This window comes from Homo sapiens, chromosome 2, assembly GCF_000001405.40.
Source record: "Homo sapiens chromosome 2, GRCh38.p14 Primary Assembly".
NCBI classification, from domain to species: Eukaryota; Metazoa; Chordata; class Mammalia; order Primates; family Hominidae; genus Homo; species Homo sapiens.
Genome location: NC_000002.12, coordinates 224,469,275 through 224,487,282, shown reverse-complemented (window position 1 = coordinate 224,487,282; position 18,008 = coordinate 224,469,275). Strand labels below are relative to the sequence as shown.

The 18,008-nt window shown below is 36.8% G+C and overlaps 1 protein-coding gene across 7 annotated transcripts in view, besides 2 other annotated features; it reads left to right on the top strand.

The window, feature by feature from the left end:
- The window catches only part of CUL3 (cullin 3), a 115,214-nt gene extending 98,081 nt beyond the window's left edge, over window positions 1-17,133 (top strand). For all 7 annotated transcript variants that reach the window (NM_001257197.2, NM_003590.5, NM_001257198.2 and 4 more), the window contains 3 exons: window positions 5,205-5,391; window positions 8,938-9,083; window positions 12,907-17,133. In NM_001257197.2, coding sequence (NP_001244126.1) covers window positions 5,205-5,391; window positions 8,938-9,083; window positions 12,907-13,038 — 465 coding nt within the window. In that variant the 3' untranslated portion in view covers window positions 13,039-17,133. The remainder of the gene's footprint in view (window positions 1-5,204; window positions 5,392-8,937; window positions 9,084-12,906) is intronic.
- Window positions 1,384-2,583: an enhancer, noted in NCBI's record as "MED14-independent group 3 enhancer chr2:225349417-225350616 (GRCh37/hg19 assembly coordinates)". NCBI's record gives its function as "activates an origin of replication core promoter dependent on BRD2, BRD4, P300/CBP and CDK7 cofactors, and independent of MED14, by STARR-seq in HCT116 cells {active_cell/tissue: HCT116}" and the evidence as "EXISTENCE:reporter gene assay evidence [ECO:0000049][PMID:35650434]".
- Window positions 1,578-2,117: an enhancer, noted in NCBI's record as "H3K27ac-H3K4me1 hESC enhancer chr2:225349883-225350422 (GRCh37/hg19 assembly coordinates)". NCBI's record gives its function as "activates a minimal SCP1, AML or CMV promoter by ChIP-STARR-seq in primed H9 embryonic stem cells {active_cell/tissue: H9 hESC(primed)}" and the evidence as "EXISTENCE:reporter gene assay evidence [ECO:0000049][PMID:30033119]".

Sequence of the window (18,008 nt, the reverse complement as noted above, 5' to 3'; positions counted from 1 at the left end):
ACGTTTAAGGTAATATTGTTATGTGTGAATTCGATCCTGTCATTATGATGTTAGCTAGTTATTTTGCCCATTAGTTGTTGCAGTTTCTTCATAGTGTCAATAGTCTTTACATTTTGGTATGTTTTTGCAGTGGCTGGTACCGATTTTTCTTTTCCATATTTAGTGCTTCCTTCAGAAGCCCTTGTAAGGCAGACCTGGTGGTGACAGAATCCCTCAGCATTTGCTTGTCTGTAAAGGATTGTATTTCTCCTTTGCTTATGAAGCTTAGTTTGGCTGGATATGATATTCTGGGTTGAACATTCTTCTCTTTAAGATTGTTGAATATTGGCCCCCCCCACTCTCTTCTGGCTTGTAGGGTTTCTGCAGAGGGATCTGCTGTTAGTCTGATGGGCTTCCCTTTTTGGGTAACCTGACCTTTCTGGCTGCCCTTAACATTTTTTCCTTCATTTCAACCTTGGTGAATCTGATGATTATGTGTCTTGGGGTTGCTCTTCTGGAGGAATATCTTTGTGGTGTTCTCTGTATTTCCTGAATTTGAATGTTGGCCTGTCTTGCTAGGTTGGGGAAGTTCTCCTGGTTAATATCCTGAAGTGTGTTTTCCAAGTTGGTTCCATTCTCCCCGTCACTTTCAGGTACACCAGTCAAACGTAGGTTTGGTCTTTTCACATAGTCCCATATTTCTTAGAGGCTTTGTTTGTTCCTTTTCATTCTTTTTTCCCTAATCTTGTCTTCACGCTTTATTTCATTAAGTTGATCTTCTGTCTTTGATATCCTTTCTTCTGCTTGATCGATTTGGCTGTTGATACTTGTGTGTGCTTCACGAAGTTCTTGTGCTGTGTTTTTCAGCTCCATCAGGTCATTTATGGTCTTCTCTAAACTGGTTATTCTAGTTAGCAGTTCCTGTAACCTTTTATCCAGGTTCTTAGCTTCTTAGCTTCTTAGGGTTAGAACATGCTCCTTTAGCTCAGAGGAGTTTGTTGTTCCCCACCTTCTGAAGCCTACTTCTGTCAGTTTGTCAAACTCATTCTCCATCCAGTTTTGTGCCCTTGCTGGCGAGGAGTTCTGATCCTTTGGAGGAGAAGAGGCATTCTAGTTTTTGGAATTTTCATCTTTTTTGCACTGGGTTTTCCTCATCTTCATGGATTTATCTACCTTTGATCTTTGATGCTGATGACCTCTGGATGGGGTTTTTGCATGGGCATTCTTTTCGTTGATGTTGAATGTTATTGCTTTCTGTTTGTTAGTTTTCCTTCTAACAATCAGGCCTCTCTTCTGCAGGTCTGCTGCAGTTTGCTGGAGGTCCACTCCAGACCCTGTTCACCTACGTATCACCAGTGGAGGCTGCAGAACAGCAAAGATTGCTGCCTGCTCCTTCCTCTGGAAGCTTTGTCCCAGAGGGGCACCTGCCAGATGCCAGCCGGAGCTCTCCTGTATGAGGTGTCTGTTGACCCCTGCTGGGAGGTGTCTCCTGTCAGGGAGGCATGGGGGACACGGACCCACTTGAGGAGGCAGTCTGTCCCTTCGCAGAGCTGGAGTGCTGCGCTGTGGGATCCACTGCTCTCTTCAGAGCCAGCAGGCAAGAACATTTAATTCTGCTGAAGCTGGGCCCATAGCTGCCTTCTTCCCAGGTGCTCTGTCCCAGGGAGATGGGAGTTTTATTTACAAGCCCGTGACTCAGGCTGCTGCCTTTCTTTCCGAGATGCCCTGCCCAGTCAAGAGGAATCTAGAGAGGCAGTTTGGCCACAGCAGCTTTGCCACCCGCCCAGTTCGAACTTCCTGGAGGCCTTGTTTACACTGTGAGGGGAAAACCGCCTACTCAAGCCTCAGGAATGGTGGACGCCCCTCCCCCCACCAAGCTTGAGTGTCCCAGGTTGACTTCAGACTGCTGTGCTGGCAGTGAGAATTTCAACCCAGTGGATCTTAGCTTGCTTGCTGGGATCTGTCGGGGTGGGACCCACTGAGTAAGACCACTTGGCTCCCTGGCTTCAGCCCCCTTTCCAGGGGAGTGGACGGTTCTCTCTCGCTGGGGTTCCGGCTGCCACTGGGATATGAAAAAAAACTCCTACAGCTAAGTTGGTATCTGCCCAAACAGCCGACCAGTTTTGTGCTAGAAACCCAGGGTCCTGGTGGTGTAGGCACACAAGGGAATCTCCTGGTCTGCGGGTTGCAAAAACTGTGGGCAAAGCGTAGTATTTGGGCCAGATAGCACAGTCCCTCAGGGCTTCCCTTGGCTAGGGGAGGGAGTTCCCTGACCCCTTGTGCTTCCCAGGTGAGGTGACGCCCCACCCTGCTTCTGCTCACCCTCTGTGGGCTGCACCCACTGTCTAACCAGTCCCATTGAGATGAACCAGGTACCTCAGTTGGAAATGCAGAAATCACCCACCTTCTGCATTAGTCTCGCTGGGAGCTGCAGATCGGAGCTGTTCCTATTCGGCCATCTTGCCAGATCTCAAATTTGTCGTTTCTAAAAACTGAATTTAATTGTTTTTTATTTGTGGGAATGAGAAGAGGGTAGTATTAAGACCTCAATTCCATGGATCACATCAAATATAAAATTCCAGATAAATGTGAAAATCTAAATATAAGTGCAAATCTATATAAATAATGGAAGAAAATGTTGAATATTTTGGTAACCTTAATGTGAGAAATGTCTTTTTAAAAATGTATTACCAAAATAATAAAGGAAAAGATTAACAGATTTAACCACATAAGTGATAACACATCTATATGATGAGATACATTAAGTTAAAAATAGACTAGGAGAAATTACTTATAACATAAAAATTGAAAACCATAATCTATAAAGAGCATCAGTAAATCAGTATGAAGGCAAACAATTGAGTATAAAAACATGAAGGAATATAGATAGAGAAAGCATAGAAGATTACAGATATCCTGTAAATATAAAAATATTTTTTCCCATAGTGGTCATGAGAAGTACAAATTAAAATAATGAGATTTCATTTTTAGCCAAACATGAGCAAAAGAAAATCTGGCGTTGAAGAGGGTGTGAGGGAGTGGATATTCATATACTATTTTTGTGGGGGGTTAAATTGTTAAGCAACTTGAAAGCAGTTCATTAGTATTTATCAAATACTAAAAAAAAAAAATTTTGAGACAGGGTCTCATTCTTGCCCAGACTGGAGTGCAGTGGTATTATCATGTCTCACTATAACCTCGACCTCCCAGGTTCAAGCCATCCTCCCACCTTAGCCTCATGAGTAGCTGGGACTACAGGCTATTTTTTAAATGTTTGGTAGAGAGCAGATCTTGCTATGTTGACCAGGCTGATTTTGAATTCTTGGGCTCAAGTGATTTTCTTACTTTGGTCTCCCAAAGTGCTGGGATTACAGGCGTGAGCAACCGTGCTTGGCGCAAATATAAAATATTTATAACTTTGAGGAAGCAAGTGCATTTCTAGAAATTTGCTTTTGAAAAACAGGCTTTCGTGCTCAAAGTCAGAAATGCATGTACCAACAGAACATTGGATCCAGTCTAAATCTCCACTTGTGTCATGATAGAACAGTACTATGGAATTCCTTGTAGCTTTAATCTCTTTTTGCTAGCTGAAAAATCTGAAGAAATTAATAGAAAAATTCATGTTATGGTCTCATTTAACACTAATACTGGTGTATAGGTGGATGTGTTCGTGTACGTTCATGTATATGCATATACTTGTATTCATGTGTATATATAGATGAATAGGAAAACATTGCTTTTAAAAAGTAATTTAAATATACAATTGATTACCAGAGTGCAGGTAAAATAGTAATAGTAAAGATAGGCATCCTTATCTTGTTCCTAACTCTAATAGAAAGATGTCTAGTATACTAACTACTGTTATGCTTAACTCTCTCATTATATATACAACCTTATGACTTTAGGGGCATTTCATTCTGTTCTTAGGCAGCTAAGAATTCCCCACTATAAGGTTTTAGGACTGACTTTTATAAAATACTTTTGGTAATAGTTACCTCTTGGGATGATCTGTAATCTTAAAATACCACCTAAGGTATTTCTGGTTCATTGAATATGATTAAGCAATAACTAAAGTATGTAAATAAATCACTTTTAGCATGTATGTAATAATAAACATCTTCATTCTAATAATAGCACCTATTTTCTGGGATTAGCATTTATACTATTTGAAATGTCTAAAGTAGGTAGATATAACCAGAGATTATTTGAAGAAAATGAATATGTGTAATCACTGAAAATCACATTTCTCTGAATCCTTGCCTACCTGACAGTTTTTTAGGAGAACAGAACTGTTGCTCAAAGACTTGTCTAGAGAGAATGACTGACTCTCCAGATCAGTTACTCGTATAATCTGAATATCACCATCTTCATGCCCACTCTTCATAAGCTGCTTTTGAGAAAGAGACAGATAGCTGTATACAGTGCATCAAAGCAATAAATCCTAGTGTCAAGACTTTTACTCAATCACATATCACTATAGACATGTAGAGACTAAATCATATAACTGTACAGTTTCCTTGCTGTCCCACTGACAGAATAGTGAATTTAAAATTACACAGCATTCTTTCCTGAGCTGCTTTTTCTCCCCTAGTATTACACTTTATTCATACCATTCACATCATTATTCATAATACGCAGTAAAGATTATTACCTGAACTTCAAAACAGATTGCTTGTTGATATTTATGTTTAATGTAATTCCAGGTTTTTTTTTTTCTTCATTTGGTCATAGAAGCATACATATGGTCAGTCTGGATGGTAAATTTTGATTGTATGGTAGAAGGCCTGAGCTCAGGCTTACCTTCCTTTTTTCTATGAAAGAAATTACTAAGCAAAAGAGTAGTCTGGATAAACTTGGATGGAAGATTGTAAAATATTTATAAAATTAGCAATTATATGTTGGTTAACACTTTATTTTTACCTAAATGTTGAAGCAGGTTCCTGATAATCTCTGCTGGATAACATTTTTGGATTAGCCATTGTATCTCCTGAAACAAAAAAGTACATGTCTTTTTAATATTTTATAACTTGAATCACCCTTTCCTCTCGTTTGTTCAAATAATGAGATTTTAATGATGTGTCATAGTACTCAAGAGAATTCTTTTTTGTGCATTATTTATTTAATGGAATTACCTCTTTTTAACTACTGCTTGGTCAGTTTACTTGCTAATTAACTAACTTTAATCTTTCAAAAAGTCTAATTATGTTAATCTGATGAAATTTCAGGAAATTCAGCAAGAGACAGATATCCCTGAAAGAGAGCTTGTTAGAGCCCTACAGTCCCTCGCCTGTGGTAAACCAACACAGCGGGTTCTTACAAAAGAACCCAAATCAAAGGAAATAGAAAATGGTCATATATTTACAGTTAATGATCAATTCACATCCAAACTACACAGAGTCAAGATTCAAACAGGTATCTGGAATTATATTTTTCCTCTCAAAAAATTATATATTTTTCTCTTTAGAAAAAAAATCTCATCTATTGGATTTCTTTTAAAAATACTCCTTTTCTGGTGCTGCATGATACTTAGGCTTAAGAAAGAAAGCAGCTTTTATTGATAAGTATTTGTATCAAAATGCATTTGAATCCAAGTACAGTAAGCATTTTAAAAAGTAATTTATAGTGTGAACAAAGTATTTCTTTTCATGTTTTTCAATAAATAGAATACAGTTTATGAACATATTGGTACTTAAAATTGTTTTTAAGTTGTTAACTAATAGTCAGTGGAAGTCTAATTTTAAAGCTGATTTAGAAGTTTTTCAGAATTGGGAGACCTATATAAAAGTTTGATGTTTGGATGTTGCTATTTATATTTTGATAAATATTTTTTGTTTCAAAATCTTAAAACCCATATCCTCTTTAATTTAAAAACATAGAAATGATACTGATGTGAATGATTTTTAATAGAGCCATATAAGTCGATAATGAAAATTCTATTCATTAAACATTTAACATAATGTAAGATGCTTGTTTTCTGTGTATTTAAAGGGGAAAAAAGGCACTCCACCCTTGCTGATTGATGTTTAAAACTAATTGTTTACTACTTGGCTTAAAAACTAGTATTAGATAGGCTTCCTAGTACTAATATATTCATTACAGCCAAATATGTGTGCAATAAAACAGTGTCCTAAGATAAATAAGATGATCTTTTAAATGACTGTCATTTGTTGATTTTAAAAAAATGTTATTTATATTGTATATTATGATAGTCTTTTTAAAAGTAATGTTAAATATACAGTTGATTACCAGAGTACATGGATTCTAGAGCTTTATATGCACACTTAAATTTTTGTTTTTCATTTTGATCTTTTTGTTTCGTATGTATACTTTGTAGAACAGAGTAGTGTCTCTGGCAAGGCTTTGCCCCCTTTGTCTTGTAGTTGTAAACTGTATCATAGTAATCTGCATTAGCCAAGATTGGCCCATGTCTTGACATAAATATATATTAAGAATAAAACAAAACTGTGCTAGCCAGTGTCATGGAATAAAATTTATTTTTCTTCCAATGCAAGACATAACTACTTTATACATTTGGGCAGATGCAGGTTTTGGATTTTAGGGCTCATTTGTATCCTAGAATTAGAGGAAAATATGTGGGAATATTTATCTGGATTGCCTTACCCTCACCCTACTGTACCCTAAATAAGTAACTGTCTTTGTTATCCCAGATTCTATCATGTCCAGCAATAATAATATCAGATATTAGTATTATGTTTAAAAAAGTCTTCATAGATTTTTAGATTTTCGTGTTAAGTGTGCACACTTATGTGTGTATCTGGAGTATGTGTATGTAGTGTTTTAGGTATGTTCAAAACAGAAATATATATATGATGAATTTCACTAGAGCTTAAAAGTTCTTTTCAGCAATAAAATTCTACAAAGCAATGTTTTTTTCTTGGGAATGGTTTTTAAATGATCTTGGCTCTTACTCATAGTTTAAGTCAAAATTTTCTCTTTGGTGGTAAATATTGTGACCACATTGGTTTTACTGTCAAAGGCTCAGTAACATAATCAAATATTCGAAGACTCAGACCCTACCTATTTATGCTGCTTTTACTGTAGCCAGTAGTAAAAGTTCATGCAAAGAAGTTAAAGGAATTACTAAAATAACACAGCCTTTGAAAAGAATTAGATTAATTGTAATCTGGGGGGGCAGTTTCCAGAGTTGACAGTCTTCACCACCACCACCACCACCACCACCACCTGCCTTTCTCAAATTCCATCCCCCAGCGTGCATATAGGTCATATATAGGCACTTGCACAACAACCCCTTCTGCTGCACTCAAGTGAGGAGTGTTGTGTTAGGCTCCAGAGTGAGCCCCTCCCCTCCCATTTAAAAAGAATACTCATTTTGACTCATCAGCACGATCTGCACATCCATGTTTTTCTGCAGGTATTTAAGAAGACACTTATTTAGGTGACCACATCCAGATGAGCCAAAGGGATTGTTTAAACAACTACTTTTTTCCCTGCAACTTTGTATTTTTTGTTTTCAAATCCACAAAGAAAGTGAAAAGCACTATAATGAATATCAATATGGCTGTGACCTACGTTTACCAGTCATTAGAATTTTGTCTTCCTCCCTGCCTTCCTCTGTGTGTGTGTATGTGTTTGCTACAGCATTTGAAGTTAATTTACAAATATCTCAGTAGTTTCCCCCTAAAAAACTTTAGCACACGTCTCCTATATCATATCCAAGAAAATTAATTTCATGTCATCTGTTTACCACCCATATTGCCTCAGTTGTCTCAAAAATTTCTTTTATATCTCACTTTTTGGATCCATGATTCCATCAAGATTTCCACATTACATTTAATTTTTATGTCTTTTTAGTTTCATTTAAACCAGTACCTCTATCTTTTTATTTTTTCATGACATCAACTTCTGAGGAAAAGCATCATAAGCATCATTCTTAGTAGATTATTTTCATCGAATTTTTTTTTTTTTTACTAAGATATTGATTATCTTACACTTGGGAAATGACACCGAAAGCAGTATTTTTATCCAAAGGATTCTAATTAGAAACAGTTGAATGGATACGCACACCAGAATGATCTTCTAAATTGTACAATCTGCTGTCTCGTGGCTATCTATGCCCATGCCTCAGTCAGCAATGCCCCATGTGCTGCTTTGCAATTTTACGGTTTCTACCTCCAGAAACTTCACATCTATCTCCTTTTGGTGAACGAATAAAACACCAGTTTTCTTTTTCTGCTATTTCATTCAGAGCAGAGTTGCAGGAGAAGACGACTTCTGTATTTCCCTTAACAGTTGCTTTGAAGACTATAGGGAAGAATAGAGTAAGACTCCTAAAGATTGGAATCTGGTATGAATTTGTGATGAGGTTGTGACATAAAAAGCATAATAAAATATATGACAAGAAATGGTTAGATAACAGAACTCTAGGGAGATTTTTGGCAAGGAGATTTTAGGAACTGACATCCTAGTGGTACTTTTAAATTATTTATTTCACTGACTGAATCTTGGCAGTACATACTCTTGTCTCCTCATAAAGCCTTAGAGATTACAGCTACATTTTGAGTTAGTAAGACAACAGATACCTATCTGAGATAATTTTGGTGAGTTTTAACTTGGAGCCATGGTAATAAAATAATCAATTGACCTCTGATAGTCATAAGCAATGAAAATTATTTACTGGTAATTTTACTACTGAATATTTTCAGCTACTGTTTTTCTTCCAGGTAAGAAATTATATTCTGCATAAAAACAAAATCAACTTTATTATCTCAAAGTTAAATTCCTCATTTTTGAAAAGGATAATTTAGTATTCAAGTAAACATTAAGACAGTTTCTGAATGCGTACTTGAATTAATAAGTGTGTATATTCAGAGGCTGAAATTGGTTTTTATCTGTGGATTACATTGAATTATAATAAGCTTGCTTATAAACCAAATTTTAAAATTAGATTTATGATAAATGTCTTTATTTCTATTTTAGTTGCTGCCAAACAAGGTGAATCCGACCCAGAGAGGAAAGAAACAAGGCAGAAAGTAGACGACGACAGAAAACATGAGATAGAAGCTGCTATAGTGCGGATAATGAAATCTAGAAAGAAGATGCAGCACAATGTTCTAGTAGCGGAGGTGAGGACTCTTCACTACTGGGCTAATATAGAAAAAACAGTAACATTATTAACAAAATTATTGTATTCAACTAATTTTAAAAACAATTTTACAATTAAGAAATCCTAGTGATGTAACACTTATGAAATGTATGGCACTCACTTGGTAACTAAACATGGTGATACATCCAAATATGTGCACACTCTCGGAACCAATGTGTTTATAACTAAAATGATAGTAGAATATTGTCACATGAAGTATTAAGAAAAGATTTTCACTGCTATTAATACCTTTGTGTAAACAAACTCCCTTTACTTCTAAAAATTAATAATGGTTACCATTCATTAAATGCTTTCATTTTACAAATTGGGAAACTAAGGAGGGGAAGACCCCTTAGGAAGCCATTAAGATAGGTGGGAGAGGATTAGGACCTGGGTAAAGTATTGGTAGAGGGTAGAAAACTGAATCAAGATAATTGGGAAGTAGAATTGACAGACTTTACTGATTGATAATGGGAAGTGAGAGGGAGAAGTTGAAGACGCCGTTTAGGTTTCTGGCTTGAATGAGTAGATAGAGGTTTGTTTCTTTAACCAAAAAGAGAAGGGTAATGTAATGTGCCGCTGTGGTCCAGATGTCACTTAATATTGTTTTGTACAAGTTGACTTTATTGTGTATTGGCACATCCAGGGGCAGGTGGAAGACAATAGACATGAGGGCTAGAAGTTGCATTGGGAATTAGCTATATGAGAATGCAGTTAAAACTACAGGTGTGGATTAAATTGCTCAGTGTTAGCATGGAGAGCAAGAAAGAACTATGGGATAGACCCCTCCCTTATTTTAGGAACAGTGAGTGTAACAACAGAAACTCTTTAGAGCACTGGTTTTCACAGTGTGGTTCTTGGAACAGCTACCTTAGCATCACCTGGGAACTCATGAGAAACACAGATCCTTAGGTTCCACCAGAGCCTGAGAATTGAATCAGAAACTCTGAGGATAGGGCCCAAGAGTCTGGTTTTTTAACACGAGCTGTAGGTGATTCTGATGTTTTTTCAAATTTGAGAACACTGCTTTAGAAGGAAAAGAAAACAAAATGACAGTGTCCTATGACAAGGGAAGAGAATTACAAGGAGTGAGTGGTCAGTAATATAAAAAATCATGGAAAAACCAAGTTGAATAAACACTTTGGCAATTACGTGACAGGTTAACTTTCTCAGACATTTTCATTGGACTCGTGAAAGTGGATATCCAGTGGTAGTGCCTTGAGAAGGAAATGGAGGTGGAAACCACCAAGAGTGGCTTATTCTTTGAGGTACTGGCTCAAGGGAAAGGGCAGAGAGAGTAGTATTAGAGGATTCAGTGTAGAGTTGAAGGGTTTGGGCTTTTTCCCCCCCAAAATGGGAGGATACTGAGCATGTTTATATCCTATGAATAAAGAATGGATCCTTAAATTGAAAAAAATGAGATGAAGGGATAAATACCACATTCTAGAAAAGGAAAGGTGAGGATTGTATAGAGAGTATGATGATGGTAGTGTACTGACACAGATGTTACTGAACATGCCTCTTCCTGAGAACCTAGGGCAGGGTGCAGGGGTATGTGCTAAGCAAGATTTGGTGTAAGTATGGATAAATGTACATGTGTAGGGTGGGTATTTAAAGAACTTCAAATTGAAATGGCTTCTTTTCTCTATGTGAAACCCGATATGAGCTTGGTGCAGGACTGGGTTGAGGAGTTTAAGGGGATTGTCAGAAATTTGAAATAATACTTGTCGAAGAATGGTGCTCAGGAACTTGCTGAACTTTTGAATACTATAAATTTGTGTTAGTCTACACCAGAGATTGGCAGATGTTTTTGTAAATGGCCAATTGTAGCATGAAAGCAGCTATAGATAATACATAAATGCGTGTGACTCGCGGTGGCTCACGCCTGTAATCCCAGCACCTTGGGAGGCCAAGGTGGGCGGATCACCTGCGGTCAGGAGTTCAAGACCAGCCTGACAAACACAGCGAAACCCCGTCCTACTGAAAATACAAAAATTAGCTGGTGGTGGGTGCCTGTAATCCCAACTACTCGGGAGGCTGAGGCAGGAGAATTGCTTGAAGCTGGGAGGCGAAGGTTGCAGTGAGCCGAGATCGTGCCATTGTACTCCACCCTGGGCGACAGAGCGAGACTCCATCTCAAAAAAAAAAACTAATAAAAAATAAATAAATACATGTGACTGTGTTTCAGTAAAATTTTACAGAAACAGGTAGTGGGGTGTATTTGGCCTGTGACTGCAGTTTGCTGACTCCTGGTGTACACATACGGTGTTAACAACTACATCTTTACTCAGCAAAGACCTCTGTGGTAGGTTGATAATGATGTAGTACATATAGAATATAGGTTTAATCAAATAGTGTTTATGGGATAGGACCAAAAGAATCAGGAGTAGAAGGTCCTGTTGAGAGTGCAGCTTTCAAGAGAAGTGATCTTGAATGCAGTTTAGGCTCGGTTAAACAGGGGAGGGAGCAAGTCGATAGGAGCTGTTAATAGGCTGGAAGAAAAGAAGGGCAAAGGGTGGGAGATCTCAGGTGATGGGTTGAGAGCAAGTTTGTCGATACAGGAGTGGTAATCCTGGAAGGGCGATAAATTGTAGTTGCAGAATGAAGTGCTGAATTTTCAGATTCCAAAGAATTATCAATCCATTGTGGCTTTGGGAAATGAACTGATCAACAAGAGTAAAAGCAAAGCTGGCTCATGGATGCATTAGAGCAAAGAACATGGACTTTGAGGTCAGAAAGGTTTAGATTCATCTCTGTTGGCTCTGTTATTTACTACTTGTTGATGTCAGTTTTCTTCTCCGGCTTTATTTTCCTCGTTTGTAAAATGAGACAACTTATTTTGCAGGGTTAAGAACATTAAATAGGCCGGGCACGGTGGCTCACGCCTGTAATCCCAGCACTTTGGGAGGCCGAGGCAGGCAGATCACAAGGTCAGGAGATCGAGACCATCCTGGCTAACATGATGAAACCCCGTCTCTACTAAAAGTACAAAAAATTAGCCGGGTGTGGTGGTGGGCGCCTGTAGTCCCAGCTACTCAGGAGGCTGAGGCAGGAGAATGGTGGGAACCTGGGAGGCGGAGCTTGCAGTGAGCGGAGATTGCGCCGCTGCACTCCAGCCTGGGCAACAGAGCAAGACTCGATCTCAAAAAAGAAAAAATAAATTAAATAAACTCATACATGCAAAATGACAGATGAATAGTGCATAGACAGACTATGACTGCTGCTTTAGTTATTATTTTATTATTATATATAGCACAGTACTTAGAATCCTGATAGTACTTGGAAAAAACCAACAGAAGCACTTACTATGATTGGGCAGCATTATTCTTTATTCTAAGGCGTTACATCTGTTAACACATTTAGTGTACACACCAGTGGGCCAAGGTCCCAGAGCTAGTAGTGGTAGAGCTGAGTTTATCCAGGTACTCTGAGTCCGGAGTTTGTGTTCTTTAATACATAGGCTACCCAAGTTCTGTGAGTTTTGAGTATAACTCAGAATTCAGTAGATAACAGCATCAAAACGGTTAAACTATAGGTGGCATATGCTCACACTACTGTAATTCCAACTAATTCAATTATTCAACTGCTATCCACTTTAGCATTCACATTCTGATTTGAGGAAGTGTGTTGTAACCATAATATTACATTTTCAAACAGAACCTTTTTAAAGTTTCTGTGCTTTTATCTTTGGTAATCCAGTTAGTAAAGTTCAGTCTCTGAGTGTTAAAATGACATATCAGTTCTGTTCAAAGATACGAATTTTTATGTGTTTATATAAAAATACTATCTACTTTCTTTTTTAGGTAACTCAGCAGTTGAAGGCGCGATTCTTACCAAGTCCAGTTGTTATTAAGAAACGTATTGAAGGACTTATTGAGAGAGAATATTTGGCACGAACACCTGAGGATCGCAAAGTATACACATATGTAGCATAAAATGCGTTCAGAAATTTGATTTATTCTTGGACTGTACTCTTCGCATGGACTGGGAAGTTCTTTTAAATCATTAAATATTAAGACGACCATCTCTTCTATTAAATTACAGTACATGTTCTAGACCATTGAGATCAAGCCTTTACTCCCTTTGAGAGTTTCCAACATCAGTTGATTGAGCTTCAGGCTTTACAACGTTTATCCCTGTAGAGATCATCTTTACAGTTCCTCGGGAAAATGTGAATGTGCTGCGTTTTGTTTTCTTTACTGTATGAAAACAGGAAAATAAAAGAGAAATTTAGAAAATACAGCTCATTACAATAAAATTGTTGGATTTCATTTCCCCAGGTCTTCAGTGTTGATGTAAATGTGTTTTGTAGTGTTGCTTAGCACTTTGCGCATTGTGTAAGTTGGGTAACAAAAATGGCAAAAGAAATGCAGATTTCCCAGTTATCTTGCTCTGAAGACATTTCTTTAGCTAGTCTTATTTAATTTTAAAGGTTTGATAAATATACAAAGACCCAAGCATACAATTTGAGCATGCTGTATTCTACCACTTGCACTTACTCATCTTCTAGCCTTATGACCAGGAACCTTTGTTTTGGGCTCAAGTACACATCCTGATTTGGTTTCTCCCTGTTGTAATTTGAGATTTCCCAAATTAAGTCTTATAATGATTAGGTTTTGTTCTGAGTTATTTCTAGAGAAAGAAAGTATTTTAGTATGTGTAAATTGTACAATAATTTTTTTGCTGTTGTACTCACTGCTAATAGTGGATTGTATAGGGTGGTGTTTTTATTTCATTTATTGTAGACAAAAATAATGAATTTAGTATACACATACCCACTAATTCAAGTATGTCAGAGCACAAAGTTGGCAGCTGGTTATATTTAATTCAGCCCCTCTGAAAAGCACATACAGTCTATACTTTGTTTATAAATACCCTAGGTCCTCCCTGCCCCTAAATATATATTTTGGTGAAGCTGTGGTGCACTATTAATTTTCTGTTTCAAAATGCAATCTAAAGATGCAATAAATATGATGACCTTGATAGTTTTAATGAAATCTTCAATTCTTGCAGCTGTGTTTTGGAAAGTGATTAAGCAATATTTCTCAAACCTGATGATTCTTGGATATTTAGCTATTGTCCTCCAAAGAGTCATCGTTTCACGTTTTCAAACATGTGCTTTGTGCTGAAGATTCTTGTCAGATATCCTGTGCTTCCAGAGTATTTTTATCTTCAATTTTATTTAATTTTGTTTCATTTTGTTTTCATAAGACAATGTTTCAGATATGTAATGGGGCAAACCACTATAGATTTCTGTTGGATAGAAAAATGAAATGTTACTAATAAGTTTAAATTGACCCTTCGTTGACTATCAGTACTGTTGATACATTTATTAGAATGTATGTCTCAGAAGATGGTTTCTGTTTAAATTTATGGTCAAGTTACAACAACTGAATTCTAATATGGATTAAAAACTCCACATAAATATTTTTCCCCATGCGTCTTGGGTTATAATTTTCCTTTTAGACTTGCAAATATGCTTTTATTGCAATTTTGTCTCCATCTGTACTGTAGAATTACAAGCCTTGTGCTCTTTATCTCTACATTTTCCACTTCTACATGATGCAATTAAGATGCCAATGAAAAGTATTGTGAACATTATTCTCAGGACACTTTTACCATACTTGAGTAGTACTAAGTCAGGTGTAACATGGAAAGCTAAGGGTTTCACCTTCTGATTTTGACATAATTGGAAATTTTCTATAATGGTAAGATGTTTATAGGAAAGTAATGGTAGTTCATGTTTGAGAATTTTTTTATTGCTTTCATTTCCCAGTTAAATGATATTTAACACCTGGGAAAACAGGACAGCTCAGATTGTCGAGTTAGTAAACATGAGCGATGTAAAAACTTTATTTGAAATCTCCTAAGTGAGACATTAAACATTTTAGTGCTAGTTTAAGCCATTAAAAGTAAAGTTTAAGTTTACGTCATTGTCTCAAGTGTGGCTGTAAAAATCAGATCTAGAGTTTAGAGACATACTTGTTAACTTTGGAGCACAGGTTTGATATTTATGCTTCTAAATACATTAAAACATTTCTGAATTGCAGTTGAATGGTTGGAGATTGCTGGCGATGTGATGCTGCACTGAAAAAACTGGTCACACAAAATGTTTATATGTTTGACTGCATAAGTATTATTTTAGGTCATAAAGGTTATAACAAAATACATTTAACATTGCTTTCTTTTTAGCAAGAGGTCACAGATGCTATTTTTTCTCAGTTTTTAATGCTTTAATTTGAAAGAAAAATGCATCCTAACCATTCCATCCTGTTGGTGCAGAGAAATTTTGGTGATTTATTAGAAGACTTTTAAGGAGGGTGGATACATAGTTTTTCAACTGCAAAAATCATGTCATCTCTTCAGTAACTGTTAAAGTGTAATTCTCTGCCTTCATTATCAAGTCCAGGACAGTGTTTATTTTGAATCGTTAACATTATTTAAAGACTGAAAATTCATTGCAATTAGGGAACGCACAGCCTCACAAAAAGTGGTTGTGATTGCAAGGATTCTTTATGTCAGTGAACTTAAAAAGGGAATGGGGGAAGAGATGCATGCCTTTCTAAAGGTATGCTAGAGTCACCTGTGTAGCATTGTAATTATGTACTATCAAACCCCCAAGATGCTGATGATAGGCCTTCTCTGTAAGAATCCTTCTCATAGTGAAGCACTGTTGATGTTTTGTTCACCGGATATGTTGGGTAGCAGAAAAGGCCTAGAACCAGTTTTAAGATTATGCCTACATCTCTAGAAGACTAGTACACTGGCATCATCTTAGGTTTCTAAATATTATTTAATTCCTTAATTTGGAAAGCAGTTTTAATGTTTACAGTTTAAGATACTCATTTTCAGTAACTAGTGTTAAAGATTTTTATCTTTGCCTGTCTACTGTAACTTAAGACTTTCATAGAATAATTTTTTATAGAGTATATGGTATATTGTGTCAATCTTGGAAGGAAAGCTGTTGCATATCAATTGTAGGTCATGTATTTTACTATATGTTGCATAGTATTTTGCATTCTGTAAATACGAATGTTAAAACATTTCAGGTCAGCAAAATTAGAAGTCATTTCTAGTCCTCAAAGCAGAAATAATTAGAAATGTTAACATTTAAGTGCTTATCATATGCCAGATACTATTCTGAATATTTTATGTATATTCATTCATTTAGTTGTCATATTGGCTTTATGTGACATAACTGTCATTATACCAGTGTTGTCCAAGGTTGCTAGCAGGAAATGGCAGAGCCAGGAGTTGGACCTAGGTTTAATCCTATCCATATTCCATGTTACAAATTGACATGATTTTCCATATTAAAAAATTTTCATTTATTTTGTACCTCATTCACATGAATAGTAATGTGACAAACTAAAGTTAATACATGAAGCATTGCAATATGGAATTTTGCACATTTTTGTTAGCTTTACATTATTTGCTGATACCAACTTTTGGTAGGAAGGAAAACAGGGAAGGTGATTGCTGCTATTCTGGAATGTGTCCATTGAAAAGAAAATAGGCGCTTTGTCTCCTACAATCTTAGAGAAAGTTTTACATACTTAAGTGGGTACCACAGATAGGCATGTACCTTAAATTCAAATCTACAGTTTTACAAAATGTTTTCCTTTGTGTGCCTTTCCTATGTCAAATTAGCCAGAAGGAAGAAGAGACGTTAAGAATGGCAGATAAATTTAACAGGTAATGATACAGAGATTGGCCATTACGCCAGCTCTCAGGAGAAAAACAACTAGGATGTCTTGAAACCCGTGCATTTAATTTTAGAAATGGCAAATTTGTAAGCGTGTCATTTAAGTAATTTGATGCTCAGTTTTAGGGTCTAAGTTGACCTCGAGTGAGCCATGCAAAAATAGCTTTAAAATTATACATGAGCAGCTCAAAGTAAACGTGTATTTTTTAGTAACAATGAAATTGTCAAATTTCAAGATTTTAATAACAGGACAGTTCAACTAATAAACTTTATTGCATACAAGATTTATTGCAATGTGGGAAAATTAAAATTCTCAGTCTCAGAATTCTTTCTGCAGTTGTGATTCTTGAATAAATGCCTCAGCACGATGTCTGGTATGTAGTGGATGTAGGCACTCAGTAAATCTTCAGATGAATGTGCTAAATGATCACTCAGTGTCTTGAAAGAAAATCTTTAAAAGAATTGAACTTCACATTAAAATTTGTACTGCACTATTGGGGCTATGACAGTATAAGGATATTTTTATAAGTAGAAGTTATTTGATACTTGACTTTAGGTAAAAAGTGGAAAATACAGACCAGCTCTTACGTGGTTGCAGATGGGTGTGTGTGTGTGTGTGTGTATGTGTGTGTACAGCATCTTGCTCTGTCATCCAGGCTGGAGTACACTGGCATAATTGCGGCTCACTACACCCTCAACCTCAATCTCCTGGCCTCAAGCGATCCTCCCACCTCAGCCTCTCAAGTAGCTGGGAGCACAAGTGCACACCACCATGCAAGCTTTTTTTTTTTTTTTTTTTTTTTTGTTGTTGTTGTTGTAAGTAGAGACAGGGTCTTGCTGTGTTGCCTAGGCTGTCATCAAACCGCTAGGCTCAAGCAATCCTCCTGCCTCGCCCTGCCAAAGCGCTAGGATAACAGGCATGAGCTACTGTTCCCAGTCGGCATGTTGTGTTAAATGCTGACTTCTAAGCCCTCTTGCATAGCATCTCTGTGATAAGAACTTGACCGGTATTAGATCATTTGGTCCTATGGAGAGCCTGTGAAAAAACTCAGGCTTAGTGACATAAAAATTTTTACGAAATCCCACTAATAGTTAATGGGGTGCAGGAATTTGGACCCAAGTCTCTTAATTCCAAAACCTGTGCTTTTAAAAGCGTGTGTCCCCAATTACTGGCTGTTTTGGCAGACTGCACAGAACCTT